The 24,401-nt window shown below is 42.2% G+C and overlaps 1 protein-coding gene across 1 annotated transcript in view, besides 2 other annotated features; it reads right to left on the reverse strand.

Annotated features, from left to right (window-relative positions):
* FLT1 (fms related receptor tyrosine kinase 1) overlaps positions 1-24,401 on the reverse strand; it is a 194,783-nt gene that overhangs the window by 38,601 nt on the left and 131,781 nt on the right. Inside the window, exons 15-17 of the mRNA NM_002019.4 lie at positions 18,608-18,739; positions 6,499-6,605; positions 222-354 (exon numbers count right to left, since the gene is read on the reverse strand). Coding sequence (NP_002010.2) covers positions 222-354; positions 6,499-6,605; positions 18,608-18,739 — 372 coding nt within the window. The remainder of the gene's footprint in view (positions 1-221; positions 355-6,498; positions 6,606-18,607; positions 18,740-24,401) is intronic.
* Positions 17,166-17,255: a silencer, noted in NCBI's record as "silent region_5211". NCBI's record gives its function as "represses an Ori minimal core promoter by ATAC-STARR-seq in GM12878 lymphoblastoid cells {active_cell/tissue: GM12878}" and the evidence as "EXISTENCE:reporter gene assay evidence [ECO:0000049][PMID:35858748]".
* Positions 19,211-19,520: an enhancer, noted in NCBI's record as "active region_7511". NCBI's record gives its function as "activates an Ori minimal core promoter by ATAC-STARR-seq in GM12878 lymphoblastoid cells {active_cell/tissue: GM12878}" and the evidence as "EXISTENCE:reporter gene assay evidence [ECO:0000049][PMID:35858748]".

The raw sequence follows: 24,401 nt of genomic DNA on the forward strand, positions 1-24,401 counted from the left end.
AACTGTTGCAAGAACAAACAGGTGCTGCGTGTCACCTTGTACTGTTATCTGAGCATTGCATTGGAATTATTTACTTTTGTGTCCATCTCCCTTGCTAGTCTGTGAGCAGCTGGAGGGTAGAATCCCAGGTCTAGTTTACTTTCGCATCTCTCAAAGCACAGTGTTTTTCATGTAATATGTGCTCAGTATAGGTTTATGAATCTGTTGAACAAATATCTTACCCAGTTTAAGTCTCTCCCGGGCAAACTCCCACTTGCTGGCATCATAAGGGAGCCGCTCACACTGCTCATCCAAAGGAACTTCATCTGGGTCCATTATAATTGATAGGTAGTCAGTCTTTATTTCAGAAGAAGACTGAGAAATAAAGAGATCTCAAAGTCATCGAGAAGAAAACAACTTTACAAATCCTAGATATTCCGTTAACATCCACTGTTTTATTTGGGATCATTTGGTTGAAACTGTGTGGCCAGGTGCAGAAAGTACTTCTCCACATTCACATACACTCATCACACTTAGGTGTGCAATTTCTATTAAACGACTCCTTACTATTCCCACACTACATTTCTGTAATGTGAGCTCTACCATCCTATCTTGGATAACATGCACTCAAATTCTCCAGTGACCTTATGTGTTGTACTTGATCTTAAACAATTATATGATGGTCTTGCTAAAAAATGCAAAGCATTTTTATAAAGTCATTCCAAACAATGACTAAAAATAACTTCCCATGGCCATCTTGTATAAGCAGGAATATATATTACATATGGGCCAACAGTGGGGCGCACTGTGGCTTTTCTACATATATAGGAAAAGCAAGAAGTGGCAAAGTAAACCCAGGATCCCTGGGGCACTGAAAAGCACATTTCTTATGAAGTGTTTAAACTTTCAGAAGGCCTGACCTCTTAGTTGCTTCAGCTATCTGGAAAGGTTGTAGCTGAATCCTGAGTGAGACTGGAATAAGGTTTACCTTCTGTAAGAAATGGAAGTTGAGGCTGTCTATGTGGTGGCCTGTAATCCCAGCACTTTAAAAGGCTGAGGTGGGTGGATCACCTGAGGTTAGGAGTTCAAGACCAGGCTGGCCAACATGATGAATCCCTGACTCTACTAAAAATACAAAAATTAGCTAGGTGTGGTGGTACACACCTGTAGTCCCAGCTACTTGGGAGGCTGAGGCAGGAGAGCTGCTTGAACCCAGGAGGTGGAGGTTGCAGTGAGCCAAGATGGCACCACTGCACTCCAGCCTGGGCGACAGAGCGAGACTCTGTCTTAAAAAAAAAAAAAAAAGATTATTTCAAAGGCCAAGGAGTAAATATGGCATAAGACTTATACACAAGCCACATTCTGACTTCATTTGTCCATTGGTAGGATGTCAAGTGAGTAAGGCAGACATCTGCCTTGAAGTGCTTTTTTATCTTGGTAATGCAAATCAAGCCCAGAAAATACCCTTCATTTCAGATCATAGATAAGTGGATTTACATTTAATGTCTTAGATTCATATCAGTGGGTGTATTTCCTGTTAATGGGCAAATTTCTAGAATTGATGACTGCATGTCTGTGGGCAGACTCTTGGATAGGATGGAAAGGAAGCATGTTTTCCCATATAACTCTTGGCCAGAAGTTATGTAAACTTCATTTAAATGAGTTTTGGGGCCCTTCCTTTTGGTGCTTTTCCCTAAACGGGATCAGAGTTGGAATGGAGAAGACAACTTCTCCATACACACCATTTGACACCCACTCGCATTCTTCAGCCCTTACTCACTCTGTTCTGGGCTGTCACAGCTCACCTCATCCATCACTTGAAATCATTCTCCTTCTCACAAAAATTATCACTAAAATGTGTGACAAATAGCTCAAGGCAGAAAGGTTTGCTTGGCCTCCATAAAGGATGAGAAGCAAAAAACGATATGGAGCACGTTTGTCACAAACTGTGGTTGCCATTGGGTTAGACTATGAGGGCCCGGCCTGCCAGACACTCTGTGAAGAGTATGAATTCCTATAACAGGGTACTAGGTGCCCATTAGAGAAACTGCTGTAGTAGTAGGTTTTATGACTAAACTTTTCAATGTCCTGTATACCCGAGCCCTGAGAAACAATCTCCAATCCTCACAGAGCATAGGATAGCTGAAACCTCGCAAGGGACATCTTGGGCTCATGCAGGATGTGTGGGGAGGCTGGCAGTAGTGTTGACAGAGGCAGGGGAATAGGCGGTGGTAGGCAGTCTCCCACGTGGCACCTATGGAATTTTATGGTTTGTCTCAATAAGGCAGGTGAGAGGAGACACCAAACAAACCTTAAGTGAGGGCTTTGAGGAGACTGTGATAGTAAAATGTTAGTTGGCAAATATTTATTCTTTCAATTGACATTAACACTGAGCAGCTACTAGGTGCTTGGCATGGAGTCTGCACAGCTAAGTGCTTCAAAGCCCAGGCATGGGGGCTGAATACCTGGGTTTGAATCACAGGTCAACTTCTGCTCACCCACACACATAACTGTGGACAAACTGCCCTCTAACCTTAGTTTTCTTATCTGTAATAATGGTACTTATCTCATAGGGTTGTTGTGAATATCAAATGAAATAATCCATGGAAAGCTATTAAGAGCAGAGTCTGGTATGTAGTAAGCCTCCATAAATGTTGGCTATAATTATAACAATAAATGTTAGCTATAGTTATGCAGGGTGAGGATAAAATATAAAATGCCATCTTTATCAATGAGGAATTTACATTGTCGTTAGAGGAACCACATGGAAATATTTTGGGATGTCTTGTTCCTCTTTGCCTCCCCCAATCCCTTTCAAATTTTACAGGCATTCTGTTTTTGAGATAATGATCTCTTGCTCTCATTCTTTCTTATTAACATCAAAATTTCACAGAATTTTAGAAATAGAAGGCACCTCTTCAATCTAGTCCCAATGTACCTTTCCAGTTTTATTTTTGTTATTTTTTATATTTTTTAGATGGAGTCTCACTCTTGTCGCCTAGGCTGGAGTGCAGCGATATGATCTCAGCTCACTGCAACCTCTGCCTCCCGGGTTCATGCGATTCTCCTGCTTCAGCTTCCCGAGTAGCTAGGATCATAGGCGCCTGCCACCATGCCCAGCTAATTTTTGTATTCTTAGTAGAGACAGGGTTTCACCATGTTGGCCAGGCTGGTCTCAAACTCCTGACTTCAAATGATCTGCCCGCCTCGGCCTCCCAAAGTTCTGGGATTACAGGCATGAGCCACCGTGCCCGGCCCCTTTCCAGTTTTATTTCTACTGTGCTCCTCTATGCTAAGTAACCAGACTACTTCCCCGCTCTGGGGAGTAGGAAGGACTAGGGCGGGCTGTTTTTCTGCTTCTTTCCTTCCAGCTACAGCCTTCAAAGTCTGTCTCAAGCCTTGCTTTCTCGGAAGTTTTTTCTCCCCTTCTCCTCCTTTGAACTCCTATAGCCTTTGTACCTCCCTTGCAGATTTGGCAAGTTTTGCTTCTGTTAGATGTATTTCCCTATATGGTGTATCTCCCCTTTCAAAACTATTGTGTGACCTTTGTTTCCTTCTCAAGCAGTGGACTTAGTTGTCATGTCTCAAAATCAGTCACTCCAAATGGCAAAAGCCTGATGTTAAACATTTACCATAGAGGATGGCTGCTGGCCTTGTCTCTCATACCAGCACTATAAAGTATATCTTATTGGTTGTTAATATCAAATCTAAGGTCAAATAGCCTGGGTTCAAAACTAAGGTCCAACCATAGTGACTTTGGATCAGTTAACTTTGTCTTGCTGAGCCTCAGTTGCCCTCTCTATAAAATGGGAATAATAATATATTTACCTTTTCATATTTTTGGAATAATTTATTGACATACTACATAAAGAGCTTCCCATAAGACCTGGCATATTAATAAGGGCTAATCTCTAGAAATTGAGAAGGCCTTCTGATACTTCTCAAGTCCTACTGATTTTACTTCCCAAATATCCTTGACTCTAATCATTTAGCCAGAGGTACCATAATTTCTTTCTTTCTTTCTCTCTCTCTCTCTCTCTCTCTTTCTTTCTTTCTTTTTCTTTCTTTTTTGAGACAGAGTCTCACTGTGTCACCCAGGCTAGAATGCAGTGGCATGATCTCAACTCACTGCAACTTCTGCCTCCCGGGTTCAAGTGATTCTCCTGCTTCAGCCTCCCTAGTAGCTAGCTGAAACTACAGGCAAGTGCCATCACACCCGGCTTATTTTTGTATTTTTAGTAGAGACGGGGTTTCACCATGTTGGCCAGGCTGGTCTTGAACTCCTGACCTCAGGTGATCCACCCACCTCAGCCTCCCAAAGTGTTGGGATTACAGGCGTGAGCCACTGCGCCCGGCTGCCATTATAATTTCTTTCTTTTCTTTTTTTTTTTTGAGACGGAGTTTCACTCTTGTTGCCCAGACAGGAGTGCAATGGGGTGATCTCGGCTCACTGCAACCTCCGCCCCCGGGTCCAAACCATTCTCCTGCCTCAGTCTCCCCAGTAGCTGAGATTACAGGCGCCTGCCACCATGCCCAGCTAATTTTTTGTATTTTTAGTAGAGACGGGTTTTCACCATGTTGGCTAGGCTGGTCTTGAACTTCTGACCTCAGGTGATCCATCCACCCTGAGTGCCAGGCGTCCCAAAGTGCTCAGATTACAGGTGTGGGCCACCACGCGCGGCCTGCCACCAAAATTTCTCTTCTTTTCTTTTTTTCTTTCTTTTTTTTTTTTTCTGAGACAGAGTCTCGCTTTGTAGCCCAGGCTGGAGTGCAGTGGTGTGATCTTGGCTTACTGCAAGCTCCACCTCCCAGGTTCATGCCATTCTCCTGCCTCAGCCTCCCGAGTAGCTGGGACTACAGGCGCCCTCCACCACGCCCGGCTAATTTTTTGTATTTTTAGTAGAGACGGGGTTTCATCCTGTTAGCCACGATGGTCTCGATCTCCTGATCTCATGATCCACCTGCCTCAGCCTCCCAAAGTGCTGGGATTACAGGCGTGAGCCACCGCGCCCGGCAGCCACCATAATTTCTTACCTGGACTACCAAGAAGTCTTCTACCAGGTGCCTCTCTATTCACTCTTGCCCCCCACCACCCGGGTCCATTCTTCTCACAGTAGCCAAAATAATTTTTCCAGACATATATCTGTCACACTAGGTGCCCCACTCCCCCCATTCCTGCCTTAGTCTAACATAGCTTTCTTCCCCAAGGCTTCCCATTGCTTTTAGAATACGGACCAAATTCCTCACCATGGCCTACGAGACCCTGCCTGGCCAGGCCTTGCCGCTTTCCCTTCCCATTTCTTGGCAGCCTCACCTCATACCTTGTTCCTCCTGTTCTCCACGCTGTAGCCCTGGCCTTCTGTCAGTCTCTCACTGTGTTCCCCCTCCCCTGCCCAGCCTCCTAAATGCTCTTGCCTCTGCCTACAACACTCCTTCCTCTCTTCTTAACCTTGACACTCCTCCTACACATCTTTTAGGCAGCTACTCTTTCAGCTAACTCAGAGTTGCAGTTTGACATTTGTGTGGCTGATTAAAGCCAATCTCCCCTGACTGCTCCCTCCAGCATCTGCCCCACTGTCACCAGAGGGTCTTGCACAGGGCCTGGCATGCTGCACTGAGTGGGTATGCAGTAAATATTTGAAGCATGAATGAATGAATGAATAAATGTAAGCTCTTTTCCCACTGGATTTCAGAGAAGCAGATCATATTACAGACCTAAGTATAGAAATCTGATGTCCTGAATGCCAACCTGGACCTCACACTCTAAAGAACTTAATTTTGTGGTGTGACTCAGAAAGTATAGAAAAAGAGTCCACTTATTTTTACTTCCAATATGTTATGAGAGAAGTCAAAGGTGGGGCCTTTACTTTTTTTTTTTTTTTTTTTTTTTTTTTTTTTGAGACAGGGTCTCACTCTGTCGCTCAGGCTGAAGTGCAGTGGCATATGACTCACTTCTCACTTGACCTCCCAGGCTAAAGTGATTTTCCCACCTCAGCCTCCCGAGTAGCTGGGACTACAGGTGTGCACCACCATACCTGCCTAAGTTTTAAAATTTTTTGTAGAGTCAGGGTCTTACTATATCGGACAGGCTGGTCTTGAACTCTTGGCCTCAAGCGATCCTCCTGCCTTGGTCTCCCAAAGTGCTGGGATTACAGTCATGTACCACCGTGCCCAGTCTCCTTTTTATTTCTTAGCAGAGAGTGAGCGTTAGGAAATAAAGGTTTCACAGGTCCCACACTGACTTTAAAGACTCTATTAACATATTTTGTATCAAAAATACCTTCTGTCCCTGAGAAGTATTCATCAGTTCATTGTTACGGCTTTTCTTTTGAACACCCCCCCTTGTGGCTAGAGACATTTTGATGATTTATTTTCTTTCTGTGTTCACCAGGTCAGAGATAGGAATGAGAGGGAAGGGAAAGAAAGAGGGTCCAACATTTGTTTGCCTACTCTAGACATCAGATCGGGCTTTTTAGAATATATGTAAAAAGGAGCATAGAACATCACCTATGTTCTTACCCTTTTCATTTTTCGGATAAAGAGGGTTAATAGGAGCCAGAAGAGAGTCGCAGCCACACAGGTGCATGTTAGAGTGATCAGCTCCAGATTAGACTTGTCCGAGGTTCCTGGAGAGAAAAAAAATCACAATAGTGGTGCAACAAAGAAATTCCCAAACTCAGAATCTTTGTGGTTTTATAAAAGAGGCTCAGTTTCCCTAAATGGTTTATCATAGCGAACCCAATCTGCTGCCACAAAATCAGTCTCTGGGACAGATCTCTTACCTTCTAAGCCAGGCAGTATACATGAACTCACATAGAAAAGGCAGTATACATGAACTCACATAATGAACTCACATAGAAAAGGCTTTCCAGAAATTTTGCTGTCAAGTTTGCAAACTTTGTAATTCCAGAAACAGCTAAGTAAAAATCAGAGGAGAAATTAAAAATGGGAAAAAATTAAGGCAGGAACAAAAGCCCATTAAAATGCTAAATCTGGAATATGTTAAATCTCCCTAATGAGTTTTAGAGGAAATTCTAAAAAAAAAAAAAAAAGACAAAATAATGACATAAAAGGGCTACTTTGGGACTCACAAAATTCTTCAAAGTAGAATTTAAGAATAAAAATAAATCCAGGACTGTCACAGTTGCCTGTTTGCTCCCTTTGGAACTGCCAGCCCAAAGCGCCCACATCCCACTCCCTTTGTCTAGGGCTCTGTTTCTGGCTTCATCAGCCAGATTGGGGGGCCTGAGATAGAAGAGGCAATTGCTGGACCTGAATCCTTCCCAGTCACCTTCTCTATCAGAATCACAGAGATCAAAAGCTGAGCACTGTTCCTCCAAGACCAAAAGGAAAAGACTTAAAGTATTCAAGCCATGCCTCCAGAGAGGGAACTCTGGAATTTGTAAAGAAATGCCTCCATGGGCCAGAACAGTATTGATTCTTGTGAGCAATTTCCCAGGAATTCTAAAGTAATGCCTTTATCCTTTAACTTAACTACAATGAGACAGAAGTGGCTGGGCATGGTGGCTCGCATCTGTAATCCTAGCAGTTTGGGAGGCTAAGGAGGGAAGATTGCTGGAGCCCCGGAGTTTGAGACCAGCCTGGGCAACATAGCAAGATGCCTTCTCTTAAAAAAAAAAAAAATGTGGTAGCACACACTTGTAATCCCAGCTACTCTGGAGGCTGAGGCAGGAGGATCACTTGAGCCCAGGCGTTCCATGCTGTAGTGAGCTATGATTGTGCCACTGAACTCCCGCTTGGGCAACAGAGCAAGACCTGGTCTCAAAAGAGAGAGGGAGAGAAAGAGAGAGAGACAGACAGATAGATGTTTATATTAAGGTGGGCAAAGGACAAGTGAAATTTTCTTTTTAGAAATAATGATGTGGATGAGGATCTAATTTGCTGAGCACTTATTATATTCTAAGCATGCAAACTATGAAGTCAGGGGCAGTAATACTCCAGTTTCATACATGAGCACTTCATCTTGGGGGCTCTCTGTTTCAATGCAACAAAGATGTATTGAGTTGTACTAGAGGCAAGGTTAGGGGCCGGAGGAGATAGAAAGATTAATGAGGGACAGTTGCCACTCTCAAGGACCCCATTCAAACCTAACCAAGAGACTTAAGGCAAATACAAAGAAATTAGATTTTGAAAGATTCGGCTGCTGAGGGAATCTAATATATACTACTATCTAATAGTAATCTAATAATACTTTTTTGAAGAGGTGGCATTTGACATGAATTTTAATCTGCAGAGATGAAGGCAGGGGAGGGCATTATAGGCAGAGGAAACAGTATGAGTAAAGACCCAGACCTGGCCAAGTGCGATGGCACACGCCTGTAATCCTAGCGCTTTGGGAGGCCGAGACGGGCAGATCACCTGAGGTCAGGAGTTCAAAACCAGCCTGGCCAACATGGTAAAACCCTGTCTCTACTAAAAATACAAAAAAAAAATTAGCTGGGTGTGGTGGGGGGGCACCCAGCTCCTCGGTAGTCTGAAGCAGGAGAATAGCTTGAACCCAGGAGGCGGAGGTTGCAGTGAGCTGAGATCGCACCACTGCACTCCATCCTGGGTGACAGAGTGAGACTCCATCTCAAAACCAAAACAAGACACAAGACCCAGACCTGGGAAAAGATAGGGCAGTATAATACAAGATACAAGACAGGACCAGACCATAGAGGATTCTGAGCATCTGTGTGATGGGTTTGATCTAAAGGCTGCAGGCAGTTGGAGCCAAGGTTTCCTGCCCAAATCATAGCAAATGCACAAGCTGGAAACCTGAGATAACAATAACTCATTGGCCCTTATTGAGTGCTTTCTATTCTAGGGACTTTTCTAAGGACCAACATGTATTCATTCACCAAAGACTCACAAAAATACTACAAGCTAGATTATTCCCATTTTATGAATAAGGAAATTGAGACACAGAGAGATTAAGCCTCTTGCCCAAAGTCACACAGCCTGCAAGTGGTGGAGCTGTGATTTTAACCCAGATAATCTGACTGCACATGCTTAACCACGAAGCTTCCAAGAGTATGCCACTTCCTCCTCTCTGATCCTTCCAGCCTTTACAAGCGCAGATTAATCACTTCCTATTGGCCATAGTCCCCGCCACAAAGTTATCTTTTAGTCTGGAGTGGAAACTGATATTTTCTCTCCATCCAACCCATCACAAAGTCCTGCCCATTCTACTTCCTTGGATCATTAAATTATCAGCTCTCCTACCCAGCTGTGACTGCCTAAAATAAGGCCTTATCAGTTCTCACCAGGACTACCTCATTGGCCATGGCTCCCTCCAGTCTGTCCTCCACCTCTGCAGCCAGAGTGATCTTGCCAAATCACCAATTTAAAATCCTATTACTCTTCTGTCTAAATTCCGTCATCTGTTCCCTGTCACCATCAGGATAAAAGTCCAAATCCTTAAATCCTTTATGCCCAACCTTGCCTCTCTTTTCAGCTTCATCTCCTGCTGTCCTCCCACTTGCTTCAGTCACGCCACAGTTCTTATAGTTTCTTAAATACACCAACCCTTCAGAACATCCATGCTTTGGCTTTTGCTATTTCTCTGCCAAAATGTGTGCTTCCTGATGACTGAGTCCATAACTTATTCACCCTACTCATCAGCTTGGGCGAATGAATGTATATATATGTTTTGCTTTACCTACCTCTAAAGAGTTTCATGAGGGTTTTAAAGAGTTTAGGGGCCGGGCGCGGTGGCTCATGCCTGTAATCCCAGCACTTTGGGAGCCCGAGGTAGGCGGATCATGAGGTCAAGAGATCGAGACCATCCCGGCTAATACCGTGAAACCCCGTCTCTACTAAAAATACAAAAAATTAGCTGGGCATGGTGGCAGGCGCCTGTAGTCCCAGCTACTCAGGAGGCTGAGGCAGGGGAATTGCTTGAACGCGGGAGGCGGAGGTTGCAGTGAGCCGAGATGGTGCCACTGCGCCACTGCACTCCAGCCTGAGCTACAGAGCGAGACTCCGTCTCAAAAAAAAAAAAAAAGAGTTTAGGGTCACGTCTCTGTTCCTGTGTATTACTTCATAAAACATATAGACCACCACCTCTGTTGCAGATATGTTCTAGGTGCTGGTATACAGTTAGAAGAGAAAGGGCATGGTTGGAGCTCACAGTCTGGTATTCAACTATGAACTGATGAGTGTGTTATAAGTTCTGAGTGAAGCAGCAGAACGTAGGGCTATGGTCCTCTTCTTCACTGCTACATTTCCAGGGTTCAGAATAGTGCCTGGCATATAGTAGACATCCTGAAAATAGTGGTCAAATGAATGAATTGGCTTATTTGCTGCTTTGTCAGCTGGTCTTAAGTTTCCCTGAACCTCATGGGGTTGATTGAAAATAACTTCCTTAAAGAAATTTCTAAGTGTGATAACCTTTTCTCTCACTACACATCCTCACAATGGGAAGATTGTAAGCTCAAGTTCATATGAGTTTGGTTTCTTTCTCCACAGTGACAGTGAGGTTTAATGCGGCCTTGCTGTACACACACACACACACACACACACACACACACACATGCGCACACGCACACACACACACACGCACACATTCTTGCTTATGCTGCAAATAAATTTTGTGGAATTTGATTGGGATTGGGATCCTCTCAGGACACAGTGGCCTTTGGCTGTCGGAGATGCTGATAGCATCTTGAGACATTGCACTGTCTGCATAAAACCTCTGCAGATGCTTCCCGCATGGAATGCACTAAGAGAGGCCCCCTTGATTGTGGGAACTTTCCTGCTGCATTCTATGGGACAGGAAGCTGACCCCCAAAGTCTAATTCCACAGTCCTTACTCAAGCAAAATTCATTTCAGTGGACCAAATGTGTTTGTGTGCAAATACTTACACATTTAAGGAATCAGCCCATTAAAAAAATCTTCAAGATGACCATTTATCGGGAAGGAAAGATCTATTTAATATTAATAATGTTCAGTACTGCTTATTGAAAAATATTAGAATTTTACAGTATGTGCTGTAGTATCATTGCTCTATTGCATTTGATGGCTTAGTCTCTATCTCTGTTTGAAAAGCGACTGTTAGGACAGTCTTATGCTGGGTGACTGACTGAAGTGAACCCTTAGGTGTTTTCTCAGCAGTCAAACACACTGGCCTGACTAAACCCAGCTTCAATTTGCTGGTGACAGCTGATGAGCTAAGTGCATGAGATAACCCAGCAGCACACAGGAGTGGAAAGAGGCCAGGGAAATGTGGGTGGGATTTGACAGTAACTAGGAGTTAGCACTGGGTCTCAGGGACATGGCTCCCGCATGATGTGCGTGAAAGGCCAGCATCAGGACACGGTACAAGGTTATTTTTATTTGGGATACTGACAAGAATATAGCCAATTTGAAGAGTGTATGTTAACTGTATCTATGACAGACTGTTGACCTGGTTGCACAGAGCATTCCACGTCAAGTACTCTCCCAGGCTTTATACCATCCCTTTTGGAATAGGGAGGGGAGATGCCACACCAGGGATGGTCTGAGTTCTGAAGGGGTGTGTATCTTGCCTGACGTCTCTGCAGCTGCGCAGTGTCCTGAGCTTTCCTGATAGCAATAGTAGCTCTCTGTACACACAGCCTGGGCTGCATGGTCTGGCGGCATCACACCAGCCCTGATGTATGGCACTGTGTGGCATCAGACTGCATGAATGGGTAGGCAGCAGAGCCAGCCAACTCAGCTCATGCAATATAACCAGACAGAGTTTCCCAAGGAGTTAAGGAAACACCCCAAGCAAAAGACCAGAGCACCTTGTCCCAGGGCCTGCCTTGACTTAGGGACCGAACACAGGTTTCATCGGGAAAGGGCAGGTACTCTGTGCCCCAGTTTCCTCATCCTTACAAAGTGGAGATAACAGCCCCTTCCTCACACGTGAATTGTGTTAACTTAGTGTTAGCTATTATTTTGAAGCCTGCTTGCCTGCCTTCCTTCCTTCCCTCCTCCCTTTCTTCCTTCCTTCTTTCCTTCCTTCCCTCCTTCCTTCCTTCTTTCCTTTCTCTCTCTCTCCCTCTCTCCCTCCCTCTCCCACCGTCTCTCTGTTTCTCCATCTACACCCCTTACTCCAACCCTTTTCTTTTTTTTTTCCTTATCACTTTTTGGACCTCAAGTGCAGAGTAATTTTTTTTCATTGAAACACATTGCATGTATTATTTAATACAATTTGCCTTTTCTTTCTGAAACAAATCAGATTTGGACCTAAGTACTCATCAATTTCTGCAAACAACTGGTCCACTACCTCCCTGAGAAATTTGCCTGATCCTAAGGTTGGTTTAGGTGTTATTCTCTGGTTCTATTGTTATTATAATTTGAGTAACTACTTATGTGGGTTTATTGCCCATTAACCTGTTAGGACCTCAAGAGAAGGACATGTTTCTTGTTCGCTTTGAGTCTCCAGCATTGACTCAGAGGAAGTCTCAATAAAGATTTAGGTATGAACGAGAAGAAAATTACTCAGATGCACTTTGACCTGACTCTCAAGATCCCCGAGCAACATAAGCCACTCAACCAGTGCCATCTCCTTCTATGTAAAACCCAGTCAGCATAATCCAGGTAACCTTACTTACTATATGGTTTCTCTAGAGCCTATTGAAATGTTAAAATAGGCCTGCAGACCTTTATTACTGTCGATGAAGTTTTTTAGGAATCTATGTACACCAATTTGGAACCACTCCTAAGGACAGTGATGTATGGAAATGCTGTATTCCCATTATATTTTAAGTACATTTTCAAGAGTACTGTTAAGTAAGGATATTTAAATTGCTGTTACGTGACGTTAGTTCTGGAACACATTTCTTTTTTCACAAGTTAAATCCTTAAGTCAAACAGGAATTCTGTGGCTTAGAACACCTTTTAGGTGACCCACTGGTTAAGTCCAGGAAAAGTATAATACAGAAACTTTTGTTGAAATGGAATTTGGTATATCTTATTAACAAACGGTAATGTTAGCTAACACTTACAAAATTTTTATTATATGCCAGATGCTGTTTTAAATGTGTTAATCCTTACAACAAGCCTACAAAGATTGGTATACCATCATTAGCATGCCCATTTTACAATGAGAGACTGGAAGCACCAGGAAGGTAAGGAACTTGGCAAAAGTTATGCAGCCCATGAAGAGTGAGGCATCTGGCTTCAGAATGGGTCTTTTTAACCACCGTGCTGTGCTACCTTAGAGTTGAGGTATAGAGCATAAAACCTATAGAGCAACAGAGCAGGATGGTTGAACATGGCTACAATTCTCAGCTCTGCCATTTCCAAGCTGTGTAACCCTGGACAAGTCACTTAACCTTTTTGAGCCTAGATTCTCCCTTTTAACTAACTGTACTTCCTTGTACCTGTAGGATTATTGCAAAACTTGAGTAGGATTACGGATGTTATGTGCTTAAAATAGTGCACTGCATGTTCTATAAGCGCAAGATATTAATTACATGGTCCCAGGCCCTCGCAGAGCCCAGCACCAAGTTCCCTAGGCCTAACACCCACTTCTATGATACCCAATGCAGTTTTATGCCAGCCTAGTTTCTACGGAAGGAATTAAGATGAATATCTTTTGAGTTTGAATTATTTTGCCTCAAGAACTCTCTACAAACACCTCAAATCAGCCTAACTGAATTCCATCACCATTTTTTAAAATTCTTCTTGATCAAGGCCAGCTTTATGTCACTGGTTAGATTTGAAGTATAGGCATGTGTATCCCTGTCCCTCAGCCCTCCTATTGACATTAGTGCACAACTGGTTCATCTCTGTTTTGAGCACTGCTCTCTCCTCGGGAAACCTTTCTAAATAGCCAACACCCATGAGAGGTGTAACATCAATCCCCAACATATTCATGCGAATTAGTTTATCACATCCTTTCTCAGTGCCAGGATAGTCATAGGAGTGAATTTGGGGGCAGGATTCAGGAAGAGAGGAGCTAACGTGGAGGGAGGTCAGTCAGGGATCAGAGGAGGGTCAAAATGGAGAACTGAAAACTGATAGCTGGCCAAGGGCAATAGAAAGCAGTGACTGAAGACCCATGGCCATATTGTTTTCAGTTTTTTCTGTTATTGACTTCTGGGATTTAATTTATTAGGGAACATAGTGTCTACTTTCTACTGGATGAGTCCTTTCTCAAACAAGTGACAACGTGCAATCGTTTGCAAATCAGCCTCTAATGCCATGACCAGCATTTAGGCTGCAGGACCCTCATGTAGTCCTTTTGTGCCTTTGGGATTTTTGTATCTGTCAATCATCTTCGAAAAATGTTTAGAATGATAGTTATTCTTCTTCAAGTTGTCTTCTCCTATGTACTTATAAATAATACTGAAATATAGTAAGGCCTAAATCTGATATAAGAGTATCAGATTTGGCTGGGCGCGGTGGCTCATGCCTGTAATCCCAGCACTTTGGGAGGCCGAGGCGGGTGGATTACCTGAGGTCAGGAGTTCGAGACCAGCCTGGCCAACGTGGTGAGACCCCGTCTCTACTAAAAATACAAAAATTAGCCAGGCGTGGTGGCACACGCCTGTAATCCCAGCTACTCGGGAGGCTGAGGCAGAAGAATTGCTTGAGCTCAGGAGGCAGAGCTTGTAATGAGCCAAGATCATGCCACTGCACTCTAGCCTGGCTGACAGACCAAGACTGTGTCTCAAAAAAAAAAAAAAAAAGAATGTTTTTATATATATTGTGGTTATTTGCATTAATAATTATAAAGCATAGCTTAAGTCCTTGGATGAAATTGTAACAGCCCCATTGAGTTCCAGGGCTACTGAGCGCTATGTTAATTTCAGAAATGATTTTAGTTACTAACACTTCTGTTGTCGGTTTTGATATGGAATTTCCCCTTTGAGAGCTTCATGTGCCCTCGTGCTGGCACTAGGTCCAAACCAAACAAGACCTGTGATTATTTAAAGAAGGTACTTTGACTCCACAGTTCATTCATCCTTTACGGATACAAAAATAACACATTGTTTTATCTGTGAGTATAAGAATCCTTTTTCAAAGGAAATAAAAAGAGCAGACAGTTTCCTTCCTGGCTAATTCACCAACCTCTTTAAATCTGTTAAACATAGCCACAGACACAACTTGTTCACTTGGTTTCATTTCCTAAACTCAATTTGACAAGATAGGTCAGTGTGAGGGTCCATATGCATCTAACAGGAAATAAAGTCTAAATCTAGGGAATGTTTCATAGCTACCAGGGTGGTAAGAACAATGACTCTAGAAGAAGAGTCCCATTTCAATTATAAAATTAATGAGCAGGTACCGTATTCAGCTGTTGTGAACAGCATCCTAGGATCAAATTTTAATCCAGTGAATCCAAACTCCTTCCATTCAAGATACTGCATCTGACTCACACATGCAGGCCTTTCTAAGGTCCACATACTATTAACATTCAAAATTTCTTCCTGTGCAAAGTTATATTCTTATATAGACTTGAAACCTGCCTCTTGGAAATTTCACTACCATCTCCCTTCCTTGGTTCTAGTTATCTTTTCTGGTGTGTCAAAGAATGAGTTAAATGCCTCTTCTGTCAGAAAGCTCCTAAACTATTTCAAGAAAACAATCTTGTTACCCCCATGTTGTCTCTTTTTTGGACTAAGTATCCTCATTTTCTGGCACTATTCTATTCCTATCCAGGATATAGCGCTACTTATTTGTTTCTTTTATAAATGGGCACAATATTTCAGGTGTGGCTGGATGATTGCCAATCATGTAATCTATATTTTCAGCTAACTACTTTTTTTAAGCAAAAAAGGTTGGATATAGCCATCACTTTTATAAAAGAGAGCAAAGGAGAAGGCCAAAAAACTACAAAAAGCAGACACAAGAGTTCAAAAAGCATGGCAGTTGGGGGCAATAATGAACAAAATAATGGAATATATAAATATATATTCCATTATATATGCCATATATTATATATATGTGGCAACCCATATGGGCAATTCAAGTGAAAATAACCTCCACTTTTCACAAGAGTAAATGATATGGCTAACAGAAAGGTTTAGAAATTATCAGTAATGCAGTATTCTTAACATCTGACTTTTCAGAAAAGCATAACATTAATGGGAAAAGGAATCAGCATAGGAAGTCTAGAGGCATGTAAACATGAGAGAAATGGAGAAAATAAAAATAACAGGATCACTGAAAGAGTGCTTTTGCTCAATTTTATCCTAAGTCCTTGCAGACAACTTCCTAAGGCACCTCAGGAATGAGAAGAGCAGAGGAAGGGCGGAAATATTCTGAGGTATACGTGGACTCAAGTCTCAGCCTCACCACATAGTCATTGTGCGACTTTGGGCAAGTTGTTTAACTTGAGTTTCCATCTTCCCATCTGTAGATTGAAGATACTACTATTGACTTCTTTAGATTCTTACAAGGTTAATAGGATTAAGTATGTCACAAGTCCAGCACAGCGCCTGCACATAAAGGTCCTAAATAAATATTTCGTGCTAAGTGCTGGGCATGTGTACAGGATACAAAGATATGTCAGACAGTACTGTCTCAAAGTTTATAATTCGGTAGGGAAGAGAAGCATATCAACGCCAAAATAATAATAAAAGGCAGAATAAAATAAGTACTGACTAATGATTCCAGAAGCGGGGATTGAGAGAGCAGAGAATGAGTATCTGCCTCAGCTGTTCATCCCGGAGTACATTCCAGGGCAGAAAGCATTTCAGCTGGCCTGAGAGGATAAGAAGGATTTGGCTGGAATAGGGAATGGAGCCTACTCCAGGATGCACTAACATCACAAACAGAGGCCACGCTTGGCGTTATGTGGCAAGTCCGGCTCACTAATGGCCAAACGACTGACTCTAATCCAATCTGGAAGGCCCCACGGTGCTGCTGATCTGGCCTGGAGCAGTGAAAGAATAACAGCAGGCCTCCTGCAGAGCAGACTGCTGGCGAACAGAAGGGTGGTCGTTCTGAAGGTGGGGAGAAGAAACTCACAGATGTCGTAAATGCACAGTTTTAAGCACACTGGCTTCTGAGAAACCCACATCAACCTGGCAGAAAAAGGAAGGAAGTCAAGACTTTGGGGAGACCTACAAACACGCAAAAACGTCACTGCTTCATACCCAGGCTCCTCCCAGGCCATAAGAGTCCAGCCATTGCTGCCCCATATTCCCTGGTGGAGGGGTGGGGACAGGGGAATGCAGTCATGGGGTGAGGGGAGGGGAGTCTGAGAAAAGTTCAGTTTTCTCCTCTGGTCTGCCATGACTAGACTGTGTGAGTTGGGTGAGTCAGTTCAGACCTCTCTGGAGGTTTATCACTGCTCTGTGTTTCTCATGGGGTTGTTGGGAGGATATGGGGGAAATGACGTTTGCTCTGAGGATTAGTGAGGTCTCCTTGCTCTCTGTGTTCCCTGGCCCGGCACGGCCATTCCTGAGGGCTATATGTCTGGGGTGCCTGTTAAAAGACAGATTAGCAGCTATCTGGGGAAGAAGGTGTTAAACAGAGATGCTAATAAATTGTTTCTGTATGAGCGAGCAGAAAAGTGAACATAATATTTTAGAACAAGGATTATTTGGGAGACAAAACCATTACTAAAGGTATTTGGGGAATGCTACCCTCTCACTTTTTCTGAAAGTATAAATTTGTGGTAGAGTAGTTTCAGACTTTCAGGGGGCTCTTTAAAATCATCTCCTTGTGAAAGAATAAAGATGATGTTCTGTTTTAAAGGGGTTTGAATTCTCAGAGTTAAAATATTTAAGCAATGTAAGTTTCAGGGGGAAAAAAACTGAAGTACGTTGCCTTCTTCCTAGTTCCTCCCCGCAAAATACTTGCATATTCTGAAGTCGACTGGTTAGCATTTGGAAATAGGCTACTGAACAAATACCATCTTTTCACGTAAAACCTCAATATGCCATAGATATTTACATCTAAGAGGTGCCAATCTGATATTTTATGATGTTGTAAATTTTATGTTTTGGATGATTCTTAGCATTAGAGAATTGAAACTGAGGTCGAAACTGTTTTCCAAATGTAAGCCACATGGCCATAGCCAGGGTAGGATTAGGCCTCTTTGTATTTTGCTGCTGAGCAAACTGTCTGAGACCTATAAAGAGGAAGCACTTGGAATATTTTTCTTAAATGTCATCTGTTGATTACATGTTGCTTCTTTCTGATAATATATTACAGCCCACTTCATTTTAAAAGCCAGCTTATAAAAGCATTTGGAATAGCAGCATATGTCTAACTCCTGGGAATTAGAAAAGGAAAACAAATGAACAATTTTAAGTGTGCGAGTTCCCCCTCCTCACCTACCCCCCTCCCTTTTCTTCCATTTTGGACATCTCTCTCACAGGTGTGGACTACTCTGGCCACTCTCTGTGGCAGGGCGTAATAACACAGTCAGAACTGGGTTTCCTTTCTTCTGGGAACGACTTCTCCCGCAGACACTGTGTTCGGATTTTGGGCTCTCGAGGATGGCCAGCCAGTGTCTTCACCTTCTGCTTTGCCAGACAGAACCAGACAGTCCCTTCCCGGAGTGGCAGGGAGAGGGGAGAAGGAGGTCAGGGAAAGGAACAGACTGGAGCAGGCAGCAGGAGACTGGGAGGTGGAAAGTTAAACAAACAGGGAAATAGATGTCTGACCAATTTCTTGTTGCTTTCTTAAGCAGCTGTTTACCTTGAACAGTGAGGTATGCTGAACTTTCCACAGAGCCCTTCTGGTTGGTGGCTTTGCAGTGATAGACACCTTCATCCTCTTCTGTGACTCTTTCAATAAACAGCGTGCTGCTTCCTGGTCCTAAAATAATTCCTGAGGGGTGAGAGATGTTTAGATTAGTGGGCCTGGATGACAAACAAAAAACAGCTACTTCTGTAACACAGCCTTCTTCCTATCATTATGCATTCAGACAAGGAAATCCGAGCTCTAGTGAACCTGGGGCAGGGTTGCTTATTTGTTTTCTCTGGGTCCAGGCTTTCTTTTTCTTTTCTTTCCTTTTTTTTTTTTTTTTTTTTTCTGCAGGCTTTCTAATAGCACCTTCACCACCCAGCAGAGCTGTGATCCCCAGCTTCGGAGATGCAAATCCACCCACCCTGTAGAAAGAAATGTGAGGCAGCTGCCATGCCCAACTTGAAAGTTGAAGATATCAAGAAGGCAGCATATCTAATAATAACAACTATCATTGACTCAACGCCCTCTGTGTGCTCGGCACTATGTGACACACTTTCATACCTTGACATTTACAACCAGCCTGTCAGCTAATATTGTCTTCCTTTTACAAATGAGGAAACTGAGATTCTGTGAGATTAAGTAACTTCACCAAGAGCATGCAGTTTGACTGAAAGCACATTTGTGACATATGGGTCAAAGGAACTAATATTTCATTTGTCATAAGGCCTGGTGAGTCAATATAGCCTAGTGATGAAGAGTTTGCCTGGGCTGTGTTTTAATCCATGCCTTAGCGCTTCAAGCTTTGTCACTTAGGCAAGTTACTTGATCTTTCTAAGTTTCAGTTTCCTTAATCTTAAGATAAAAATGAAAGTAATTCTTACTCTATAGTAAATGGCAAGCCCATGGTACATAGTAAGTGCTCAGTAAATGTAAGCTTAAGGATTACTACAGAGCACAGTGTAGTGGAAGGAGTCCCAAGAATTTTCAGACCCCTGAAAGGCTTCAAGACCTTGAAGCTTCAATACCTTGTACTATCACCAAGGGTCTGTTGAGTATTTACTCTGCCATCAGTTCGTGTTACAAAACAAACAGCAGGCTAAGATGTGGGCAGGCTAAGACATGGTATCTGTTGAGAAGGAAAAATTAATTCCTACCAAACACACACATTTACATTCTCTCTCTCCCACACATGCTCAACACATACACTCACACACACAAGCCAACAAATAGAAAATGTTTAATGAATGAGAATGAGTGAATACAGCACAGTATACCTAATTAAGTGGAAGGTCTGGCACAGGGAAGGAGATCAGTAAGGAAGGGTGTACTTGGGGAAGGCTGCATAGAAGAGGTGGGCCTCGAGTTGAGGTCTGAAGGATTGTCAGAGGTGAAATGAGAAACGGAAGCATGAGAAATGGCATGATGTGGAAATAAACAGGAATTGAGTACTTGTTCCAGAATAGTGATAAAACAGGCCTGGCCAGACTATAGGCTGTATTTCATTAGTTTAAATAGTTTGTATTTCTCTTATGAAAGATGTACTCAATATAGAAAAGTTGAGAAATATTTGAAAGCTTAAAAAAAGAAAATGTAATATTATAAAGCTATGATAATCAAAACAGCATGGTACTGTTATAAAAACAGATCCATCAACCAATGGAATAGGCAAGGGCCCAGAAATCAACCCAAACATCTATGGTCAACTGATTTTTGACAAGGTGCCAAGAACACACAATGGGGAAAGGACAGTCTCCTTAATAAGTGGTGTTGGGAAAACTGGATATCTACATACAGAAAAATGAAAATGGACCCTTCTCTCATCCCTTATATAAAAATGAACTCAATATGGATTAAAAACTTAAATGTAAGACCAGAAACTATAAAACTACTAGAAGAAAATGTGGGGGAAAAACTCCACGATATTGGTCTGGGAAGAGATTTCTTGGATATGACCCCAAAAGCACAGGCAACGAAAGCAAAAATAGGCAAATGGGATTGCATCAAACTAAAAACCTTTTGCACAGCAAAGGAAACAATTAATAGAGTGAAGAGACAACCTACAGATTGGGAAAAAGTATTTGCAAATCATACATCAGATAAGGAGCCAATATCCAAAATATACAAGGAACTCAAACTACTCAATAACAAGGAAACCAATAATCCTATTTAAAAATGGGCAAAGAAATCAAATAGACATTTTTCAAAAGAAGACAGATGGCCAACAGTTATATGAAAAAAATACTCACCATCTCCAATCACAAAAATGTAAATCAAAACCAAATGAGGCCAGGTGCAGTGGCTCATGCCTGTAATCCCAGCACTTTGGGAGGCCGAGGTGGGCAGATCATCTGAGGTCAAGAGTTCAAGACCAGCCTCGCCAACATGATGAAACCCAGTCTCTACTAAAAATACAAAAATTAGCGGGGTGTGGTGGCGAATGCCTGTAATCCTAACTACTTGGGAGGCTGCAGCAGGAGAATCACTTGAACTGGGGAGGCAGAGGTTGCAGTGAGCGAGATCGTGCCACTGCACTCCGGCCTGGGTGACAGAGCGAGACTTTGTCTCAAAAAACAAGAAAAAAACCAAATGAGATAGCACCTCACACCTATTAGATTAGCTATTATTAAAAAGATAAAAGATCACAAGTGTTGATGAGGATGTGGAAAGAAGGGAACCCTTATACACGGTTGGTGGCATTATAAATTGTTACGGCCATTTTGGAAAACCATATGGAGCCTCTCAAACAACTAAAAAGAAAACTGCTATATGATCTAGCAATCCCACTACTGGGTATCTACCCAAAGAAATTGAAATCAAGGATGCTGAAGAGATGTCTGCATTCCCATGTTTATTGCAGCATTATTCACAATAGCCAAGATATGGAGGCAACCTATGTGTCCATCAATGGATGAATAGATTTTTAAAATTTGGTGTATATATACAATGGAATACTACAGCCTTAAAAAATAACAGGAAATTCTGTCATTTATGACAATATGGATGAACCTAGAGGACATTATGTTGAGCGAAATAAGCCAGGCACTGAGAGACAAATGCTGCATGATTTCACTTATATGTGGAATCTAAAAAAGTTGAACTCATAGATGTAGAGAGTAGAGTGATGGTTACCACAGGCTGGGGTGGGGAGAGTTGGATACGGACAGGGAAGATATTGGTCACTGGGTACAAAGTTACAGTTAGATAAGAGGAATATGTTCTGGCATTCTATTACACAGCAAAGTGACAACAGCTAAAAATAATGCACATTTCAAAATAGCTAAAAGAGGATTTTAAGTGTTCCCACCACAAAGAAATGATATTTGAGCTGATGGGTATGCTAATCAGGCTTATTTGATCCTTCCCATTGTATACATGTATTAATATTAAAACATCACACTGTACCCCATGCATATATATAATTATTATTATTTGCCAATTAAAGAAATGGAAAAGGCCGGGCACGGTGGCTCATGCCTGTAATCCCAGCACTTGTGGGAGGCCGAGGTGGGTGGATCATGAGGTCTAGGAATTCGAGACCAGCCTATCCAATATGGTGACACCCCGTCTCTACTAAAAATACAAAAATTAGCCGGGCGTGGTGGCTCATGCCGGTAGTCCCAGCTACTCGGGAGGCTGAGGCAGAAGAATTGCTTGAAGCCGGGAGGCAGAGCTTGGAGTGAGCCAAGATGGTGCCCCTGCACTCCAGCCTGGGTGACAGAGCAAGACTCCATCTCAAAAAACAAAAAAAAAAGAAATGTAAAAAACACACAAACTCCAAACACCTACAATCTCACCTCCCAGATGTTGTTTCTTTAGTCTTTCTAAAGTGTACTTTCTGAAAACACAGTTTGTTCATTTATATAACAAATATTTTTTGAGCTCCTACTACGTACTAGACACTATTCTAGATACTGGTGATACACTATCAAGCAGAAGAAATCCTTGCCTACAAATTCTAGTTTTGGAGAATTACAAAGTGAGTATCAACAGATTAAGGTATTAGAGAAACCAGAGGAGACAACAATGAATTAAGTATGAACAAAAGATCTGAGGGATGGAGACAAATTATAAGGGTAATAACTTGCTTATTTTTGTAAGAAAGGAAATAAATAGCAAGAGTGGAGGATGAGCAGTATCGTCTAAAAAATTAAAAACACAAAACTTTGCTGATTTGATAGATGAAAATGATTGTTTTAATTTGTATTTCTTTGAACATTTTTTCATGTGTGTATTAGCCATTTTTATTTCAAAAGACCTGTTTTGAGTAGGTGACTGGAAAAGGTGAATTCAGATTAAGGAGAGCTTTGAAATCTTGGTTGAGGAGTTTCAATTCCATGTAGAAGGAAAGAGAATCACAAAGATTTTTGAGCATAGTGAAAGCGACATTTAAGGACGTTCAGTCTAGAAGGAGAATACAGCTGGACTGGAATGAGGAAAGCATAGCATCTGCAAGTCCTGCTCATCAGTTGTAATTCAGGCAAGGAATGATGAGGTCTCAAATCTGGATGGTGGGAAAGGAAGTAGAGAGGAAGAAATGGAAACAGATACTTTGTAGAAACAACCTATAGGAATTGGTGCTTTACTGGATACAGCAATAGAAAAAGAGAGAGATGAGTCCAAGGTGATTCCAATATTTTAAACCCAGATAACAGGGAAAAAATGACAGCTCTTCCCCATAACCTTGGCTAAGTCACTTAATCTTTTTGGGGCAAGTTCCTTACCTGTAAAATGAGAATAATACCTGCTCCACCTATTTCATGATCAATTGAGATAGCTTAAATGGAAGCATTGAAGCTTTGAGAAGTATAAGATATAGTACAAGTGGCAATCACAGAAAATAAAAGTGTGGCTGTACAGTTGCTCCGGGTCAATGAACATTTATAAGAGCAGCTATCTTGCTACCTACAATCATTACAATAATCTCCATTGCAGCAGATCTGAAACTCAGCCAATTTTCTATCACTCAAATCCCAACTCAAGGATAGCATCATGGGCTGGGCACAGTGGCTCATGCCTATAATCCCAGCACTTTTGGAGGCCGAGGTGGGCAGATCGCTTGAGCCTAGGAGTTCGAGACCAGCCTGGGCAACATAATGAGACTCCATCTCCACTAAAACTTGGAAAAAACAACAACAACAAAAAACAGGCTGGCACCATGAGTAAATAAAGTTAAAGGACTTGGATTTCACTCAAGGAGAGTGTGTAATTATGAAAGGTGAGAGATGGTAGCCAGGATGCTCATGAGCTAACATCATCTGGCACAGATTCCTCTTTCTAGCCCAAGGAGGAGAGGAGATGGGGTGAGAAGGTGTCCAAATTCAACAGGCAAAGCTCTTCTTTCTGATATGCCCTCTATTGTACTATAACAAATGACACAGAGACATTGATGCTTCCCCATCAGATAGGCCACTCAGACGCTCAGAACTGTCATCAGGCCCTTGCTCATCCTCCACTCTTGCATTTATTTCCCTTCTTACGAAAATAAGCATGTTATTACCCCTATAATTTGTCTCCATTCTTCAGATCTTTTGTTCATACTTAATTCATTGTTGTCTCCCCAGGTTTCTCTAATACCTTAATCTGTTGATACTCACTTTATATGACCCAAATCGTAGGATACAGGCTCTGTTCTGCTGAGGAAAATACATTTTTAAAGTGGTTCTATTTTTAGTTTAATTTTAATTTTTTTGACTGTGAGCACTTTCAAAAATGTTAAAGTGCAGAAAAAGTATAACTCATGTATCTACCATTAAGATGATCAGAGGTCAACATCTTGCCATATTTGCTTTAGGCAGACCCATTT

The sequence above is a fragment of the Homo sapiens genome, chromosome 13, assembly GCF_000001405.40.
Source record: "Homo sapiens chromosome 13, GRCh38.p14 Primary Assembly".
NCBI classification, from domain to species: domain Eukaryota; kingdom Metazoa; phylum Chordata; class Mammalia; order Primates; family Hominidae; genus Homo; species Homo sapiens.